The sequence below is a fragment of the Homo sapiens genome, chromosome 14, assembly GCF_000001405.40.
Source record: "Homo sapiens chromosome 14, GRCh38.p14 Primary Assembly".
In the NCBI taxonomy this organism is placed as follows: Eukaryota; Metazoa; Chordata; class Mammalia; order Primates; family Hominidae; genus Homo; species Homo sapiens.
In genome coordinates this window covers 75,793,754-75,813,486 of record NC_000014.9, presented here as the reverse complement: position 1 = coordinate 75,813,486, position 19,733 = coordinate 75,793,754, and the positions used below count along the sequence as shown (strand labels likewise).

Below are 19,733 nucleotides of genomic sequence, written 5' to 3'. Positions count from 1 at the left end.
CACTAAAAATATAAAAATTAGCTGAGTGTGGTGGTGCATGCTTCTAGTCCCAGCTACTAGGGAGGCTGAGGTGGGAAGGATTGCTTGAGCGCAGGAGGTTGAGACTGCAGTGAGCTGAGATCACACCACTGCACTCCAGCCTGGATAATAGAGCAAGACGCTGTCTCAAACACACACACACACACACACACACACACACACACACACACACACACAAACACACACACAGTGCCTGGATAATAGAGCAAGACCCTGTCTGAAACACACACACACACACACACACACACACACAGCTTGTTCCAGGCAACATGCTAAGCATATTTTATGTATATTAACCTACTTAGTCTTCAAGACAGGTAGATGGGGAAACTGAGGTTGAGAGATAAAATAACTTGCTCAAGAACAAATAATTATTATGTGTCAGCCCCTGGATTCAATTCCTGGTCTGCCTGATGAAAATTCTCCCAATCTTGTTGTTTTAATCACTGTGTTATCTCACTGCCTTGTACCACTGAGCCTTGCGACTTAGAATTTGGTCTCTGGACCAAGAGCACCTGCATTACTGGGAGCATATTAAAAATGCAGAATCTTGGCCCAGCCACAGCCCCAGCCCCAGCCCCAGCCCCAGCTGCACTGAACCAAAATTTGCATTTTCAAGATCCACGGGAAACTTACTTGCATTGCAGAGTTTGAGAAGCACTTGTTACCAGGAATGGTAGCTAAGGAAACGAGAGAACAGGTAAAAGGAACCATTCAATGCTTCCTCTCCTCCACAAAGCTCACGGGCAGGGGATTTTCCAAAAAACAGCAGAAATGCCTTTGATGGGGTGAAGACAAGTTACAAAACAACAAAGGGGAATGAGAAGGGAAAATAGTTTCATTAGCAACTTTAAGGTTTTACTATTTCTCAATGTTGTTCAGATGCTCAAACATTAAAAAGAGTAATCATTAAATATGCCAAGAATGCAAAAGTGGACAAAACAGCTTAGGACAAACTTCAGAAAATTCCAAGATTACTTGCTATGCTGCCCTGAGAAATAGTGGTAACAACGAAAAAACAAAAAAACAAGAAATTTAAGCCTAAAAACAGTCAACTTGTTCCACATGTCTCTGCCCCTGCCTCCCTCTAGCTGGCTGCTGCTAAGTGAGTAACTGCCTGTGGGAAATCTGGTCACAAGATCCTACCTCCACCTAAGCTTTGGGGCCTGCTTGGCAGATGTTTCACCCCTTGCTCTCCTCCTCCTCCCCCTGCTCCTGCTTTTCCTCTTCCTCTGCTCCCACTCTCCTGGAGCAGCTTATCCAGATGTTCCACTCCCATTCTCTGCCTCATGTCCATTGCCACGGTGACCTCAGTGCGTTTTTCCTTTAGTACCAAATCACTGTTTATTTTAGAGCCAATCTTCCGAATAAGGCAGGTGAGCAAATATCTGAATGTGTGGGGTAGGGACACATTGCATGCATACCATCTAGACAGGTGTTTAAATTATAGCAGGAATAAATCCAGGTGATGGATTGAAAAGGGGGTAGGAGAAACCCAGAGAAAGAGGCCAATTTCCGGTGGCTGGCCCGCCCAAGTGTTACTTCTTGTTACTGCTGTTTGTTAAAAGTCGTACTGCTGCCAGCACTATAATTAAAATATGATGGAGCTTCCCTGTTGATTCTTAGAAGATACCCACCATCCACCCAGATACATAACCTTTTGGTATGTGAAGAGGGTTTGAAGACAAGCCTAGCTATTTCAATGCTGCATGCTCTCAAAAATGCTGCAGTCCCGAATGCTTAAGAGAAGTCCACACCTCAAAGATAGTAAGTGCTGTATTGCCTATCACAGGTAAAGCCTTGAGGAAAGCGCTAACGCATGTGCAGATAAAAACGTGGCCCTTCCCTGCCCTCAAGCCATGTTGGAATTTATAATTACTAGGCCAGACAAGATTGTAAGACAAAAAGCAGTATTTAAGACCTCCAGAATGCAGTAAGTGCCATAAAAGAACAGCTAAAGAAATTAAAAAATGGCATCTGGGCTGGGCCTAAAATAATAGGTAGGAGGAAAGAAAAATCGTCAGACAAGCAGGGAGAACATCTGAGAAACAGAAAGTAGTCTAATTCAGCAAAAGCTTCGCGTCATAGAAGATAGGGACAGACAGATAAACAGCTTGGGGAGGCCCTTGAATGTCAGACTAATGATTCTGTCCTTGATCTAGTAGACAACAGTAAGCCTGCTCACAGGTTCTGACAGAACCATGCTATATGAGAACCTTGGTTGCAGACCCTTCTACTCCCAAACACACACACACACATACACACACACACACACACACACACACACACACTCTTTCTTTCATTCCCTCTCTTTCCCCACCCCCTCTATTTCTCCCTCCCACCCCCTACCTCCAGTTAGCAGCTAGTTTCACCAGTTGAGTAGAAAAGTGGTTAATGTCTCTGCAAGGCTATCAAGGAAATTAGGAGTCCCAAATCACCTCTTTTTGCCTGGGCCACAAGGGAGGGACTGCTTTAGAATTCAGGGAAATAAAATGATCAGTGACTAGAGTTGAGAGATGTGTTGCTCTTGCTGTGCCCTGAATAATTTTAGAGAGGATTTTTGCTTGATCTTAAATGGATGAAATAACAGCTTTGACATACAGATGTTGTGCCTTGTGCACACAATGTGTATATTTGTTTCTTCATGCCCCTGAAACTGCAAAGGCCTAAGAAACCATTTGCAATGGACTCAAACTAATCTCAGGTTCACTAAGGATGTCTGCAAATTTCATGCATCTTATTTATCGAAATGGAGAAGAAAATTAAGCATTAAAGATTTAGGGTCAGGCACAGTAGCTCATGTGTGTAATCACAGTGCTTTGAGGGGCTGAGGCAGGAGGGTCACTTGAGGCCAAAAATTCAAGACCAACCTGGGCAACATAAGAGACCCCATCTCTACAAAATATAATTTAAAAAATTAGGCATGGTGGTGCATGCCTGTAGTCCTAGCTACTTGGGAGGCTGAGGCAGGAGGATCACTTGAGCCTGGGAATTCAAGGCTGCAGTGAACCATAATCACACCACTGTACTCCAGCCTGGGTGGCACTCTAGCCTGGGTGACAGAGCAAGATCCTGTCTCAAAAAGAAAAACAGAGAGAGAGAGAGAGAGAAGATGATTTAGTTAATAAGAGCTTAACATGGGAGTAACTGGTAGCAAAGCATTCCCAATGCAGTTTATAATCTTGCCATAGCTCAATTTCCTCATTGTAGCAGGTCCAGAAAAATTTTAGATAATTCTTGTCTGAGAAGGTCTAGGAATGCTGTTTCCTAAGATTAGTTCACTAATTCAAACTAATATTTCTCAGGCACCTACTCTGGGCTTGCCATTCTTTTGAGCATTAAGGATAAAACAATGACAAAAAACAGTCAAGTAGCACAGTCAATATGGAAAACAGTATACAGGTTCCTCAAAAAGCTAAAAATACAACAACCATATGATCTAGCAATCCCACTGCTGGGTATCAACCTAAGTGTCCATCAACGGATGAATGGATTAAAAAAAATGTGACATATATACATAGAGGAATATAGTTCGGCCACAAAAAGAATGAAATCCTGTCATTTGCAGAACATAGATGGAACTGGAGGTCATTATGTTAAATGTAATAAGTGAAGAACAGAAACACAAAAATTGCATGTTCTCACTCATATCTGGGAACTAAAAGAGTGGATTTCATGGAGATAGAGAATAGAATGATGGTTACCAGAGCTGAGAAGGGAAAAAGGGGAAGGAGAAGAGATATTGATTCATGAGTACAAAAATACAGTTAGATAAAATGAATAAGTTCTAGTATTCGAAAGTATAGTAGGAAAATTGCAGTTAACAATTTATTGTATATCTCAAAATAGTCACAAGGGAAGACTTGTTAATGTTCCCAACACAAAGAAAAGATAAATCTTTGAAGCAACGGATATCCCAATTACTCTGACTTGATCATAACACATTGTATAGATGTATCTAAACATCATATGTACCCCCCAAAATATGTAACACTGTGATATATGAATAACCCCCAAATCCTTGCCTTCATGGAGATTACAGCCTAATGTGGGGCTATCACTGAAATATATAAAGAATGTATAAAACAAAGATACTCATAGATTTGGAGTTTGGGCCAAATTATTGATATTAATGGTTATATGCTACCTAAACACTTTCAGGGGATCTTAACTTAGAGACCATAAGTCCATGGAGCATCAAGACAGAGCCTGATTGAGGGTGAAGGTATTTGAACCCTTTGAAATTAATGCAAATTTATAAGTTTGAGTGTATATTTTTTCAGGAGGAGGAATAAAGCTTTAATTAGATTCTCCAAGAGACTTCTGAATCCAAAAAGGTTAAGAATCACTTCAACTGATAAAAGGATAAATTTGTCTAAATGTGCATTCATATTATCCTCAAAACTACCTCAATGTCATTTGAAAATAATGTTCTCTGTGGTGTTCATATATAAAGAATATATATATATATATTCCTTATATATATCCTGATATGTATAGCTATATCAAAATCTGACAGGATCAGCTGGGCATGGTGGCACACACCTATAATCCAGCACTTTGGGAGGCCAAGGCAGGAGGATCACTTGAGCCCAGGAGTTCGAGATCAGTCTGGGCAACACAGTGAGACCTCACCTCTATATAAAAATTTTAAAAAATAAGAAAAAAAGAATATGACTGGATCAATTGAACATGCCATAGCTTTGATTCCTGCAGCCATGGGGCTCTGAATGATCTGGAACAGGATCTGTTCCTGTTTTCACCTGTTTTGCTAGAGCAAAAGGTAATCCTTGAATAGGAAATATCAGTGGACCAAGATCTGTTTCACTCAAGGTAAAAGAAGAGGAAAACCAAAAGTGCCAGATCTGCACCAATTACAAGATTTTCACCAATGGAGAAATATTAGAGAATATATTCAATCAGAAAAATGAAAAGAACTATCTTAAACAGTTACATTTTGAACAGTCCTCCAAAAGCACTTCACGAGCATTTATTAAATCACTAGCCACAATTCAATTCCTTCTTCAATTCCTGGATGCTGATAAAATAAACCTCAAGAAATTCACACTCCAATCACCAGGAGAGAAGGGTTAAATGTTAATTATATTTTAAAGGGGGTCAGGAAAAGCAGGGAATCTCTGCAGTTCCAATACCTCAGCACTAAATTCTCTTGGCATATCTTCTCTTTCTGCTGAGCTCCATCATTTTCATAATATACGTATATATATAGACATTTAGTGTTCCAAAATCCAGACAGAGTTCCAGATCAAGATTTGCCAGAGACATTCCTGGGAAACCTGACAAAATGGGCAAATCTCTTCGTAGGGTTTCCAATTTATACATGTAGATTTTGTGTGTTGACAGGGGGAGTTGCTGCTGCCATCATAAGATCTATTCTTATTGCATCTCTAGTGATTAACAAGGCTGAGTTTTGTCTGGTCGAAGAATCAGTTGACTATACTATAAAATAATCTGATGAGGAGTTTGCCCAACAAATAACTGATAATTCTCAACAGAGCCACATGTTTTGCAAGCTGCTTCAAGAACTAGAGAAGCATTTCAAATCAAGAAAACAAAGTTCAACTCCTTGTTTCTCTGAGCAGGCACAAGTATAGGCTTGGCTACAACTCTGTAGCAACATCATGGAACAACAAGCTCACAGGGTGAAGTTCGGTCACTTTCGTCTAATGAGAGGTTTGAGTCCTTATTCACACCGAAAGAGACAGAAAAACACTGAGGTAAAGAGCACAGAGTCAGACAGAGCTGAGTTTGAGTCTTAGCACAGTAACTTGCCATCTGTGTGACATTAGCAGAGTCACTTATCCTACCAGCTTCTATTTCTTCATCTTAATTGGCAAAAAGTAAGTACCTACACCTCATTAGGGTTAAAGAGATAATGCATATAAAGTCCTTGGCACAGTGCCTAGTACAAAGTAAGCATCTGATTAATGTCAACTGCTTAATTATGAAGGGCAGGTATGGTGTTATCAATGAAAAAATTTTGACACAGGGTCTTTCTTACTTTGTAGCCGAGGTTGGAGTGCAGTGGTGCAGTTATGGCACACTGCAGCTCTTGGGCTCAATCGATCCTCCCACCTCAGCCTCCAGAGTAGCTGGGACTACAGGCACGTGCCACCGCACCTGGCTAATTTTTGTCTTTTTTGTGGAGTTGGGGTTTTGCCATGTTCCCCAGGCTGGCCTAGAACTCCCGAGCTCAAGCGATCCACCCACCTCGGCCTCCCAAAGTGCTGGGATTATAGGAGTGCGCCACTGCACCCAGCCATCAATCGTTTTTAAAGAAAATATAAAAACCTACAAAATGTAAAAAAGAAATTCTTTTCAATTTAGCAAGCATGTGATGACTGCCAAGTGAAAGGCCTTGCGCTAGGTGATGAGTTAGAAAGAACTGCATCATGTAGTTTAGTGCAAAACAGGAAAGAAAAGATGCAAAATAATTATAATAGATCTGTTATAAAAAGTAATGAAGGAATGAAGGAGCACACAGAATAGAAAGATGACTTCTGGCTAAGGCAGCAGAGGGTTCTTCATTTACTTATTTATTCAAAAAATACGTACTGAGTGCATACTATTAATATCTAGCAGGCTGGGAAAAAACTGGTGAAAAAAATGGACATGATCCAATTCTCAATGAATTACCTTGTAGTCCAGTCGAATCAGCACATTTTTTGAGTACTACCAATGAGTCAGGTGCTGAGGCAGCAAAGGACACTGCCCTCAAGGAGTTCACTGTCTGTTAAAAGAGAGAGCTATCTTGACATACCTAGTGTGATGAGTGAAAGAGTATGCATATGAGTGAAGTGGCATCTACACTGAGCCTGGACAGATGCCCAGATTAGACATGGCAACTGGGGAACATTTTCCATGAGAAGATAGCATAAGGCATGGAGACTAACAGAAATTCTAGTTGAGCTGCACAAAAACATGTGTGATAGTAGGGAGACAGGCTGGAAAAGTAGCCTGGAGCCAGATTCTAAATAAAGGCTTTGAATCACATTTAACAGCCTGGGCTTCCCATTATAGACAACAGAAGGCCCTCGAGATTCTTAAGCAGAAGAGTACCATGATGAGACTTGTGATTTAGGAAAGGATCCATTATGGCCGGGCACAGTGGCTCACACCTGAATTCCCAGCACTTTGAAAGGCTGAAGCGGACAGATCACTTGAGGTCAGGAGTTTGAAACCACTCTGGCCAAGATGGTGAAACCCCATCTCTACTAAAAATACAAAAATTAGCCCGGCATGGCGGCAGGCATCTGTAATCCCAGCTACTTGGGAGGCTGAGGCAGGAGAATCACTTGAACCTGGGAGGCAGAGATTGTAGTGAGCTGAGATCGCGCACCACTGCACTCCAGTCTGAGCAACAGAGTGAGACTGCATCTCAAAAAAAAAAAAAAAAGAATCTTTCAGAGCAAAGCAAAGACTAGGGTGAACAGGAAGAGACTGGCCAAGAAACCAGTGAAAAGGTAATTGCAGCTCTCCATCCAAGAGATAATAAAGGCCTTAAGCAGGACAGTAGATGGAAAAGTGAAAAACAGGATAGGTATCAGAGACACTGTAGAATCTTGACAACTGCCTGGACATAGAATGAGGAAGTGAAGAGAGGCACTGATAAACCAATGGCTCCATTCCTAAATTCCCTGGGATTCTAGAATTCCAAGAATTGCAATGTCACTAATATAGAGAAGAACAAAAAGAGGCAAATAAGTTTTAAATATGTTTAAGACTTTTCTGAGTATTTTCAAAATATGTTCAAAATACATCAAGTATTTTGAATGTTCTGCAATATAGTTAGGTAGAAATGTCTCACAGGTGGAAATGTGGACCTGACTCTCAGCAAAGGCTCAAACTAAAGATATATACTTGGGAGAAATCCATAGAGAAGTACCAGGATGAAATCACAGGAAAAGGAACTTTATCCCAGGGGAAAGTATGGAGAGGAAAAAGAAGTTCTGAGGATTACAGCCTAGAATTCAGAGATATGCTGGAGGATCCCAAAAGACCAGGGAGAAGCAGATGCCCAGGGGCCACTCCACCTTCTTCAACCAGAGCCACTCTGCTATGATCAACTTTATACACATAAGATCTATATGCCAGTGGCTCTGAAAAACATGTTGAAAATGGAATCTAGTTTTCAGGGAGAGCAGGAGGAAGCAATGATTTCTCAGAGGAATTACTGAAGGGTTAGAAAAGCTAAGGGAAATTTTCACCTAAGAAGCCGTTGATAATAGTGCCACATGCTAAAGGAAGAAGATTAAAAATAGTGACTGAAGTTGGCAATTCTGAGGTCATGAGTGGCCTTTGAGAGAGAGATGGACAAATGTAAGAGATGAAGTCAGACTGCAAGAGCAAGTGTGTAGGGGTGGAGGGGCAGAAGGGAGACTAGAGCCAACAAGGGTGTGTTATTTTAAAAGAAGTTTGGCAGTACAAGTAAGATGAGTTTAAAGGGGTGGCAGAGTAAAACAAAGGCTATTTTAAAACAAGAGACCATGCAGTAGGCCAGGAACTAAAGAAAATGAGAGCTTCAAGCCTCAAGACCTAGAAAAGCTAGGAAATTAGATCAGATCAACTGGAGCCAGGTCCTGGAACAGAGAGGCACAAGTAGCCAAGAGAAGAATTGGTCTTGATACCAAAACTACCCCATTTTACAGATGAGGAAATCAAGGCACAGGGAGGTTAAACAACTTGTCCAAGGTCTTGCTGACTCAAGAGCTTATGCCTTTTTCTATTTACCCTTTCCTGCTTCTAGAAATGGGAAAGAATAATGTATATGGTAAAAAGAACAACAACTTTTTCTACTAAGAAAGAATATGAAACTAAAGGAACTAGGGTTAACAAACGGCCACAAAATCTGAGCACAAATGTACCTAAGTTCAAATGTGTCCAGATAAACTAAGGAGGCAGAAAGAGTTTCCAGTGCCAATTGCTGAAGCTTGTGATAAACTGGGCGCCATCTGCCTCAATCCTAGAGAACATCTGTAACCATTTCAAAGATTTAGCTCCGTCTCTCTTCATTTGGAATTTCTGAAATTGAGATTCACTCAGGGTCCACTGTGGACCCTTACGGTGTTAGCTGCGGAAGCAGAAGAAATGATAAAGAATTCCTTTGTATAGAGAGAGTGAGAGAGTTTAACTGCTGTGAATCAAGCTTTATGTACCTCCGCATCTATCTTTCTCTAGGACCAGGCAGGGAAGTCTCAGGGTAAGGAGCAAGAAAAATGAAAGAAATAGAATGGATTTTTTTTTTCCCACTCTCCATCTAAATGAAAAATGTGAAGAGCAAAAAGTATCTCCTCCCCTCTCTGTATCTGTCAGCACATTTCCAGGAGGCCTGGCCACATCCCGGGCACTGGCTGGTTGGGGAGCAGAGACTGACACAGCACATTCGTTCACACTGGAGCCCCCGCCTGGGTGGTCTGCTGTTATCCCTTTGATTAAACTCCCAGGCTGGAAGAGCTGGAGTTGCTCCTAATGATAGCTGGGTCCTGCAGTCTCAGGCTTGCCTGCACGGAGAGGGCCAGCGCTCCCTCTGATTCCCTGCCTCCCACTTCTCACCACAAAGCTGGGCTAATTCACCACATTCTTCTGTTCACTAATGGCAATAACCACAAAGGGCTACATCTCTTCAGAGCACTACACTCCCTTCCAGCATGGAGTCAGGCAGAGATAGTGAGACTTCACACGGAAGCTCAGTACCCTATTGGCCACCACGACACTTCTCCTGCCCCCAGCCCAGGTGCAAGATGTTTCTAGAAAACCCTGCTTTCAGGGACATACACATAGATTTCCAAAAAATCTCATCTCCAAAAGACAACCAGCCTCTCTTGGGCCAAGGGAAAGAATTAAATTTGACCTGCTCTCTGCTCAGATTTCTAAGTTATTTGTTGAATGGTGGTAGTTGAGAACATTTATCTCTTTATATTTCAAGTATACACGTGCTTGCACAGATTTTTTGAAGTGGCCGCTGCTCACATGGCAGGGAAAGTTTGATATTTTTATGTGTTTTAGGCTATAAACAAAGTTAAATCACAGCAGGAGTAGTAGTAACTACACAGGATATGAGCTTCTGTTTTTGCCACACAGATTTCTTAAGAATCTAACCTCTAATGTAAATTCTGAGTCCCTCTATGTTTTATCATCAAATTTTTGGCTTGTCAGAATACTTTGCTTCTTTACCTTTAGCTAGTTCACTGTTCCTCATTATCTTCACCAGCGAGCATGGAGGAAAAAGGAGTGGCACTGCCTCATCCTCCAAATCCATCCTCTTCAAGCTACCTGAGTGGTCCAGCTAAAAGGCAAAGCAATTGTGTCTCAGAGAATCTCCATCATCTAAGAGACAAAGGACAAGTTCCTTCACACGGCATGAAAGCTCTCCCTGAACCAGCCCTTGCCTTCTCGCCCAACTTCATTCCTAGCTAGTCCCTGCTGACTCTCCATCCTGTGACATCCTTAGCCTGTCACTCGTTTCGCTACATATGCACAAGTGAGTTTTTATTCTGTAAACTGTTTCTCCCCTTCTTCTGCCATCTACCTGCCTATCTTTAAGATTCAGTTTAGATATAATCTCTTCCAAGAAGGCTAGTTCAGCTTTTTCCCCATTCCCACCCACAAGCTGGGTTCGGGGCCTCTTTTAGTGGTTGTTATTCCCTCAGACTATCTCTGTCATGCATATTCCATGTTACTATTACCATCTGTTTATGTAGCTGCCACCATTACAAGAGAGTGAGTTATTTCATGCTGAGGACTATGTGTTATATCATCCCCATGGCTTAGTACCAAAGCCTGGAAGACTCTTAAGAGCCTAGCAAAATGTTTTTTAAATACATACATATACACATGCACACACAAACACAATGAAATAAAAAGTTTTGCAGGAAATGCCACTAAAAGTTTTAATAGGCTAAGCAGTTGAAATTGTAGGCCAAATATAATGATTTTTCAGAAATACCCAACAACTTCAATATTCTATACTCATCTTCCAAAATAGCACAAGTAATTTAAATTCAACTTTGCTTGCTTAGTAGAATATCTCTTAACTCCTTGCCCAGAAAGCCAATTAAAGATAGATCAGAATTTATGTAATATAATGAGAGCAATGTTCAGAGAAAAATTCATAGCTTTTATATAGTGAAAAAAATACCAAGAGTGAATGAAAATAAATGAAGCATTTAACTCAAGGTGGGGAGAAATATTGAAATAGTGGAACAAAGTTAAGGAAAGCAGAAAGAAGGAATTAGTAAAGATAAGGCAAGAAAATAATGAATTAGAAAACAATAGAATGAATAAACATATCCAGAATAAATCTTATTTTTAAAAGGGGAGAAAATATTAATTAAACCTATTAGAAAAGGGAAAACAAAAAAAAGAAAGCACAAACAGAAAATAAGAATCGAGAATATGAAAACAGGTAAGAGGAAACAAAAAACATTTAAAGTGATTACTGGACACAAACTTGTTTCTGATAATAGCTAAGTTTAAGTTTTCAGGCCCTAACTCCAGAGAGAAGAGCAGAACTCTCACCACTTTCTGACTGGAAATCTACCTCTTTCTAGAAAGCTACAGACATTGTATCACTTGACTCAGTGAGTAAGAAACTAAAGCAACTTTCTTTTTAAATATAACTAGAGAAAAAGGGAAACTGTTAGTAAACAAATATACCAGAATCTATACTAAACCATTATAACATGTTATTAGTTATTTACCAGAAAAAGAATAATCAATGACAGAATTTTCCAAATTCCAAATTAAGGAATCACTTTCTCTGAAGGGAAAGGGTTGAATAACCTATAATTGAGCTTTGCAACACAAAATACAGAGGGTGGGGGGAAGTAGGGATGGTTAATGGGTACAAAAATATAGTTAGCATGAATAAGATCTAGTATTTGATAGCACAACAGGGTGACTACAGTCAACAATAATTTATCGTACATTTTAAAGTAACTAAGAGTATAACTGGATTGTCTGTAATACAAAGAAAGGATAAATGCTTGAGGTGATGGACACCTTTACCCTGATATGATCAACACACACTATATGCCTGTATCAAAATATCTTATGCACCCCAGGAGATTGGCCTTGTTGGCTGCGTGGGAAATGGGTGAGGTCTGCCACTGCTGGCTTTCCCCTACTTCCCTGGTGACCTGTATGATGCAGCAGGGGCAGCCATAATCCCTCTGGGAACGTAACTCCATGGGCCTGAGAACCACACCCCCATCCCCCACAGCAAAAGCAGCAAGCCCTGTCCAAGGAGAGTCTCTGAGCTTGGGCATGCCTAACTCTGCCCCAACCTGATGGTCTTTCTCTACCTGTCCTGGTAGCTGAAGAAAAAAGACGTAATATCTTGGGAGCTCTGTGGCCCCGCCCACCACCTGAGACACTCAAATACTTAACCAAGGCGACCTTAGGGCAAGCTTGTATCAGCTGATGCTCTCTTGAAAGCGCCACCTCCTGGCTGGAGGTCAAAAAACCACTAGCACAACCAGCGCTCAAGAAAACCAGCTCACTGAACAAAACTACAACAAAGGACCCTCACAGAGTCCACAGAGCTCACTCCCCTGCTACCTCCACCAGATCAGGTGCTGGTATCCATGGCTGAGAGACCTGAAGATGGATCACATCACAGGACTCTTCACAGAAACTTGCCAGTACCAGCCCAGAGCCCAGCAGCTCTGCTGGGGGGCTAGACCCAGAAGGGCAGTAACAATCACTGCAGTTTGGCTCTCAGGAAGCCCCATCCCTACTAGGGGAAGAAGAGAACACCACATCAAGGAACCAACCAGTGGGACAAAAGAATCTGAACAGCAGCCCTTCAACCCAGACCCTCTGATACAGACTACCCAGATGAGAAGGAACCGGAAAAACAATTCTGGTAATATGACAAGGCAAGGTTCTTTAACACTCCCAAAAGATCACACTAGCTCACTAGCAACGGATCCAAAGAAGAAATTTCTAAGTTGCCAGAAAAAGAACTCAAAAGGTCGATTATTTACCTATTTAAGGAGGCACCAGGGAAAGGTGGAAACCAATTTAAAGAAACTAAAAAAATAATAATAATACAGGACATGGACCAAAAAATCTCCAGGGAAATAGAGAGCATCGATAAAAAACAATCATAACTCCTGGAAATAAAAGACACACTTAAAGAGATGCAAAATACACTGGAAAGTTTCAACAATAGAATCAAAAAAGTAGAAGAAAGAACTTCAGAGCTCGAAGACAAGGCTTTTGATTAACCCAATCCAACAAAGACAAAGAAAAAGGCATCCCCAAAAATGAACAAAGCCTCCAAGAAGTTTGGGATTATGTTAAACGACCAAACCTAAGAATAACTGGTGTTCCCGAGGAAGAAGAGAAATCTAAAAGTTTGGAAAACTTATTTGGGGGAATAATCGAGGAGAACTTCCCTGGCCTTGCCAAAGATCGAGACATCCAAACAGGAGAAGCTCAAAGAACACCTGGGAAATTCATCGCAAAAAGATAATCACTTAGACACATAGTCATCAGGTTATCTAAAGTCAAGACAAAGGAAAGACTCTTAAGAGCTATAGGCAAAAGCATGAGGTAACCTATAAAGGAAAACCTATTAGATTAACACCAGATTTCTCAGCAGAAACCCTAAAAGCTAGAAGGGAGTGGGGTCCTATGTTTAGCCTCCTTAAACAAAACAATTATCAGCCAACAATCTTGTATCCAGTGAAACGAAGCTTCATAAATGAAGGAAAGATAGTCTTTTTCAGACAAACAAATGCTGAGAGAATTAGCCACTACCAAGCCAGCACTACACAAACTGCTAAAGAAAGTTCTAAATCTTGAGACAAAACCTCGAAATACACCAAAATAGAACCTCCATAAAGCACAAATCCTACAGGGCCTATAAAACAATAACACAATGCAAAAATCACCAGGTATTCAGGCAACAACTAGCATGATGAACAGAATAGTGCCTCACATCTCAATAATAATGTTGAATGTAAATGGCCTAAATGTTCCCCTTAAAAGATACAAAATCTGCTGTCTTCAAGAAACTCAACTAACATATAAGTTCAGGAAACTCATCTAACACATAAACTCACATAAACTTAAGGTAAGGGAGTGAAAAAAGATATTCCATGCAAATGGATAACGGAAGTGAGCAGAAGTAGCTATTCTTACATCAGACAAAGCAAACTTTAAAGATTCAAAGCAATAACAGTTTAAAGAGACAAAGAGGGACATTACGTAATGATAAAAGGACTAGTCCAATAGGAAAATATCACAATCCTAAATACATATGCGCCTAACACTGGAGCTCCCAAATTCATAAAACAATTACTACTAGACCTAAGAAATGAGATAGACAACAACACAATAATAGTGGGAAACTTCAATACTCCACTGACAGCACTAGGCAGGTCATCAACACAGAAAGTCAACAAAGAGACAACAGACATAAACCATACCCTAGAACAAATGGAGTTAACGGATATTTACAGAACATTCTACCCAGCAACTGCAGAATACACATTCTATTCATCAGCACATGAAATATTCTCCAAGATAGACCACAAGATAGGCCACAAAACGAGTCTCAACAAACTTAAGAAAATCAAAATTATATCAAGTATTCTCTCAGACCACAATGTAATAAAACTGGAAATCAACTCCAAAAGGAACCCTCAACACCATGCAAGTACATGGAAATTAAATAGTCTGCTCCTGAATGGTCATTGGGTCAACAATGAAATCAATATGGAAATGTAAAAATTCCTTGAGCTGAATGATAACAGTGACACAACCTATCAAAATCTCTGGGATACAGCAAAAGCGGTGCTAAGACGAAAGTTCATAGCTTTAAATGCCTACATCAAAAAGCCTGAAAGAGCTCAAATAGACAATCTAAGGTCACATCTCAGAGAACTAGAGAAACAAGAACAAACCAAACTGAAATCCAGCAGAAGAAAAGAAATAACAAAGATCAGAGCATAACTAAATAAAATTGATACAAACAAAAAAACCCAATACAAAAGATAAATGAAACAAAAATCTGGTTCTTTGAAAAAAAAATAAATAAACAAAATTGACAGACCACTAGCAAGATTAGAAGAGAAGAAGAAAAGAAGAGAGAAGATCCAAATAAACTCAATTAGAAGGGAAGCAAGAGATAGTACAACCAACACCACAGAAATACAAAAGATAACTCAAGGCTACTATGAACACCTTTACGTGCACAAACTAGAAAACCTAGAGGAGACGGATAAATTCCTGGAAATATACAACCCTTCTAGATTAAACCAGGAATAAATAAAAACTCTGAACAGATAACAGCAAGCAGCAATATTGAAATGGCAATTTAAAAATTGCCAATAAAAAGAAGTCCAGGACCAGATGGATTCACAGCTGAATTCCATCAGGCATTCAAGAAGAATTAGACGAATCTTATTGAAACTATTCCAAAAGACAGAGAAAAAGAGAATCCTCCCTAAATAATTCTATAAAGCCAGTAACACCCTAATACCAAACCCAGGAAAGGACATTAACAAAAAAAGAAAACTACAGACCAATATCTCTGATGAATACAGATGCAAAAATCCCCAACAAAATTCTAGGTTGTTACACAAGTAATTGCAGTTTCTGCCACTAACCTAATCCAACAGCATATCAAAAAGATAATCCACCTTCATCAAGTGAGTTTCATACCAGGGATGCGGGCATGGTTTAACATACGCAAGTCAATAAATGTGATATACCACATAAACAGAATCAAAGACAAAAATCACATGGTAATCTCAACAGACACAGAAAAAGCATCTGACAAAATCCAGCATCTCTTCATGATTAAAACCCTCAACAAAATTGGCATAAAATGGACATACCTTAAGGTAATAAAAGCCATCTATGACAAACCCACAACCAACATTATACCAAAAGTAGAAAAGTTGAATATATTCCCCTTGAAAACTGGAACAAGACAAGAATGCCCATTTCACCACTTCTATTCAACATAGTTCTGGAAGTCCTAGCCAAAGCAATCAGACAAGAGAAATAAGGGCATTCAAATCATTAAAGAGGAAGTCAAACTGTTGCTGTTTGCCAATATGATCATATACCTAGAAAACCATAAAGGTTCACCCAAAAAGCTCCTAGATCTAATAAATAAATTCAGTAAAGTTTCAGGATACAAAATCAATGTACACAAATCAGTAGCACTGCTATACACCAACTGCCGCCAAGCTGAGAATCACATCAAGAATTTAACCCCTTTTACAACAGCTGCAAAAAATAAAATAAAATACTTACGGATATACCTAACCAAGGACGTGAAAGACCTCTACAAGGAAAACTACAAAACACTGCTGAAAGGAATCACAGATGACACAAACAAATGGAAACACATCCCATGCTCATGGATGGGTAGAATCAATATTGTGAAAATGACCACACTGCCAAAAGCAATCTACAAATTCAGTGCAATTTAATACCATCATCATTCTTCACAGAACTAGAAAAAACAATCCTGAAATTCATATGGAACCAAAAAAGAGCCTGCATAGCCAAAACACAACTAAGCAAAAAGAACAAATCTAGAGGCATCACATTACCCAAATTCAAACTATACTAAAAGGATATAGTTACCAAAACAGCATGGTACTGGTATAAAAATAGGCACATAGACCAATAGAACAGAATAGAAAACCCAGAAATAAAGTCAAATACTTAACAGCCAACTGATCTTTGACAAAGCAAACAAAAAACATAACCTGGGGAAAGGACACCCTATTCAACAAATGGTGCTAGCATAACTGGCAAGCCACATGTAGAAGAATGAAACTGGATCCTCATCTCTCACCTTACACAAAAATCAACTCAAGATAGATGAAAGACTTAAATCTAAGACCTGAAACCATAAAAATTCTAGAAGATAACATCAGAAAAACCCTTCTAGACACTGGCTTAGGCAAAGACTTCATGGCCAAGACCCCAAAAGCAAATGCAACAAAAACAAAGATAAATAGATAGAATTTAATTAAACTAAAAAGCTTCTGCAGGCAAAAGAAATAATCAGCAAGGAAACAGACAACCCACACAGTGGGAGAAAATCTTCACAAACTATGCATCCAACAAAGGACTAATAGCCAGAATCTACAAGGAACTCAAACAAATCAGCAAGAAAAAAATAATTCCATCAAAAAGGCTAAGGACATGAATAGACAATTCTCAAAAGAAGATATACAAATATCCAACAAACATATGAGAAAATGCTCAACATCACTTATTATCAGGGAAATGCAAATCAAAACCACAATGCAATACTACCTTACTCCTGCAAGAATGGCTATAATTAAAAAGTCAAAAAATAATAGATGTTGGCATGGAAGAGGTGAAAAGGGAACACTTTTACACTGTTGGTGGGAATGTAAACTAGTACAACCATTATGGAAAACACTATGGAGATTCCTTAAAGAACTAAAAGTAGATCTACCATTTGATCCAGTAATCCCACTACTGGGTATCTACCCAGAGGAAAAGAAGTCATTATATGAAAAAGATACTTGCACATGCATATTTATAGCAACACAATTTGCAATTGCAAAAATATGGAACCAGCCCAAATGTCTATCAATCAATGAGTAGATAAAGAAAATGTGGTGTGTATATATATACACCATGGACTACTACTCATCCATAAAAAGGAACAAAATAATGGTATTCGCAGCAACCTGGAGGGAGCTGGAGACCATTATTCTAAGTGAAGTAACTCAGGAATGGAAAACCAGACATCATATGTTCTCACTTATAAGTAGGAGCTAAGCTATGAGGACACAAAGGTACAAGGATTATATAATGGACTTTGGGGACTTGGGGGGAAGGGTGGAAGGAGGGTGAAGAATAAAAGACTGCACATTGGGTACAGTGTACACTACTTGGGTGATAGGTGCACCAAAATCTTGGAAATCACCACTAGAGAGCTTATCCATGTAACCAAACACCACCTGTTCCCCCAAAAACCTACTGAAATAAAAAAAATCGTATGTACCCCATAAATATATACACCTATGTACCCACAATAATTTTTGAAAAACTACTAAAAAGTACACTTTATCTAAAAACTTGTTTCTAACCAAATTAGAAGCCATTTACTATTGAAAGCCTTTTATGGCTGAAATAACAATATTTTCCACATATATTGCATTTAGAGGTTTTGCATAATATCCTCATGACCCTGTTGTATTTTCCTCATCAATCAGTGAAGACCCTGAGGTTAAGAGAAGTTGAGTGAACTGCTCAAGATCACACAGCTAGTCAGTGGCAGGAGAACAGTAGAGTGAACTGTCCAAGATCACACAGCTAGTCAGTGTCAGAAGAGTAGAATGAACTGTCCAAGATCACACAGCTAGTCAGTGTCAGAACAATGGAATTAACTGCCCAATATCACACAGGAGTCAGTGGCAGGAGAACAGTGGGGTGAACTGCCCAAGATCACACAGCTAGTCAGTGTCAGAAGAGTAGAGTGAACTGTCCAAGATCACATAGCTAATCAGTGACAGAACAGTGGCATGAACTGCCAAAGATCATACAGGAGTCAGTGTCAGAATAACAATGGAGTGAACTGCTCAAGATCACACAGGAGTCAGTGGCAAGTCTCTGGATGGCTAATCTAGCTCTTTCTCCACTACTCCATCCTGCTTATTACATCCTACAGCACCTCCCTCAGTACTGACCACCCTATTACCAAGACTCTAAAAGTTAACACTGACATCTAATGGCAAGTTCAGATCCCTACAAACCATAGTCTAATGGACTTTTAATTCGCTGGCACTGAAGTTCTTTATAGACGAAAAAAATGAACTGAAGGGGGATGACTTCCCAATCAGGATACAGTCACCTTGGATTCCTACAGGATTAGGATCTTTTCACTTTGTAGGCTTTGCAGTCTAGTGAACGATAGGAGCTAGATAGGTAAGCACTAATATTGGCTATTTTGGGTATTTTTTTTTTTTTTTTACTACAATCACAAAATCTCAATGTCTTGGTGCTTCTAGCTGCCCATTTATAAACCGGAAACATATAATCTAGTTAGTGACCCAATGATAAAAGTGTAGCAGAGCACTGGCCTTTCCCGTCTCATAGCCACTTATTTAATTTGAAAATTCCTTCCCATCATATCTTAGTATCCTATTCCCTCTTCCCATAATTCTATCACTAAAATCTAACTACCCAACTCCCTCCAAGAATCAACATTGTTCTTATAATATTCTTTGCTTCCTATTTCACATTAGGCCTTCTTATTTACTCCCTTCAAACAACTAAGGATTTGAGAAAGAAAATAATTACTGCTTCACACGCTGGGATGAGGCTGAAGTAAAACTAATTCCATGAGAGGCTTAGCTTTAGTTTTGGTCCTAAATTTTATACAGATAAGTAGGGTACCACCAGGGAGCAGTGTGTTGCCTACTTTTAGCATGTACTTAAAGTAATTTTCAGCTTCACTTTTTTCGAGACTTGATTATCACTACAGAGTTACTACCAATTAAGGAATTTGGCACATCAGCAACATAGCAAAATATAACTGTGGAGTTAAATTATGATAATTCCTTTGGAGGACTTTGATGCCATTTAACATTAAGGAATAAGAGATATGGCTTTTCCTTCAATTAAACACCATAGGGATAACCAGCAAGAAGGACAAAGAGAATTCA

At 39.6% G+C, this 19,733-nt stretch overlaps 1 protein-coding gene across 1 annotated transcript in view, besides 1 other annotated feature; it reads right to left on the bottom strand.

The window, feature by feature from the left end:
* TTLL5 (tubulin tyrosine ligase like 5) overlaps positions 1-19,733 on the bottom strand; it is a 293,834-nt gene that overhangs the window by 141,593 nt on the left and 132,508 nt on the right. The gene's annotated exons all lie outside the window — the stretch shown is intronic.
* Positions 786-1,291: an enhancer, noted in NCBI's record as "H3K4me1 hESC enhancer chr14:76278539-76279044 (GRCh37/hg19 assembly coordinates)". NCBI's record gives its function as "activates a minimal SCP1, AML or CMV promoter by ChIP-STARR-seq in primed H9 embryonic stem cells {active_cell/tissue: H9 hESC(primed)}" and the evidence as "EXISTENCE:reporter gene assay evidence [ECO:0000049][PMID:30033119]".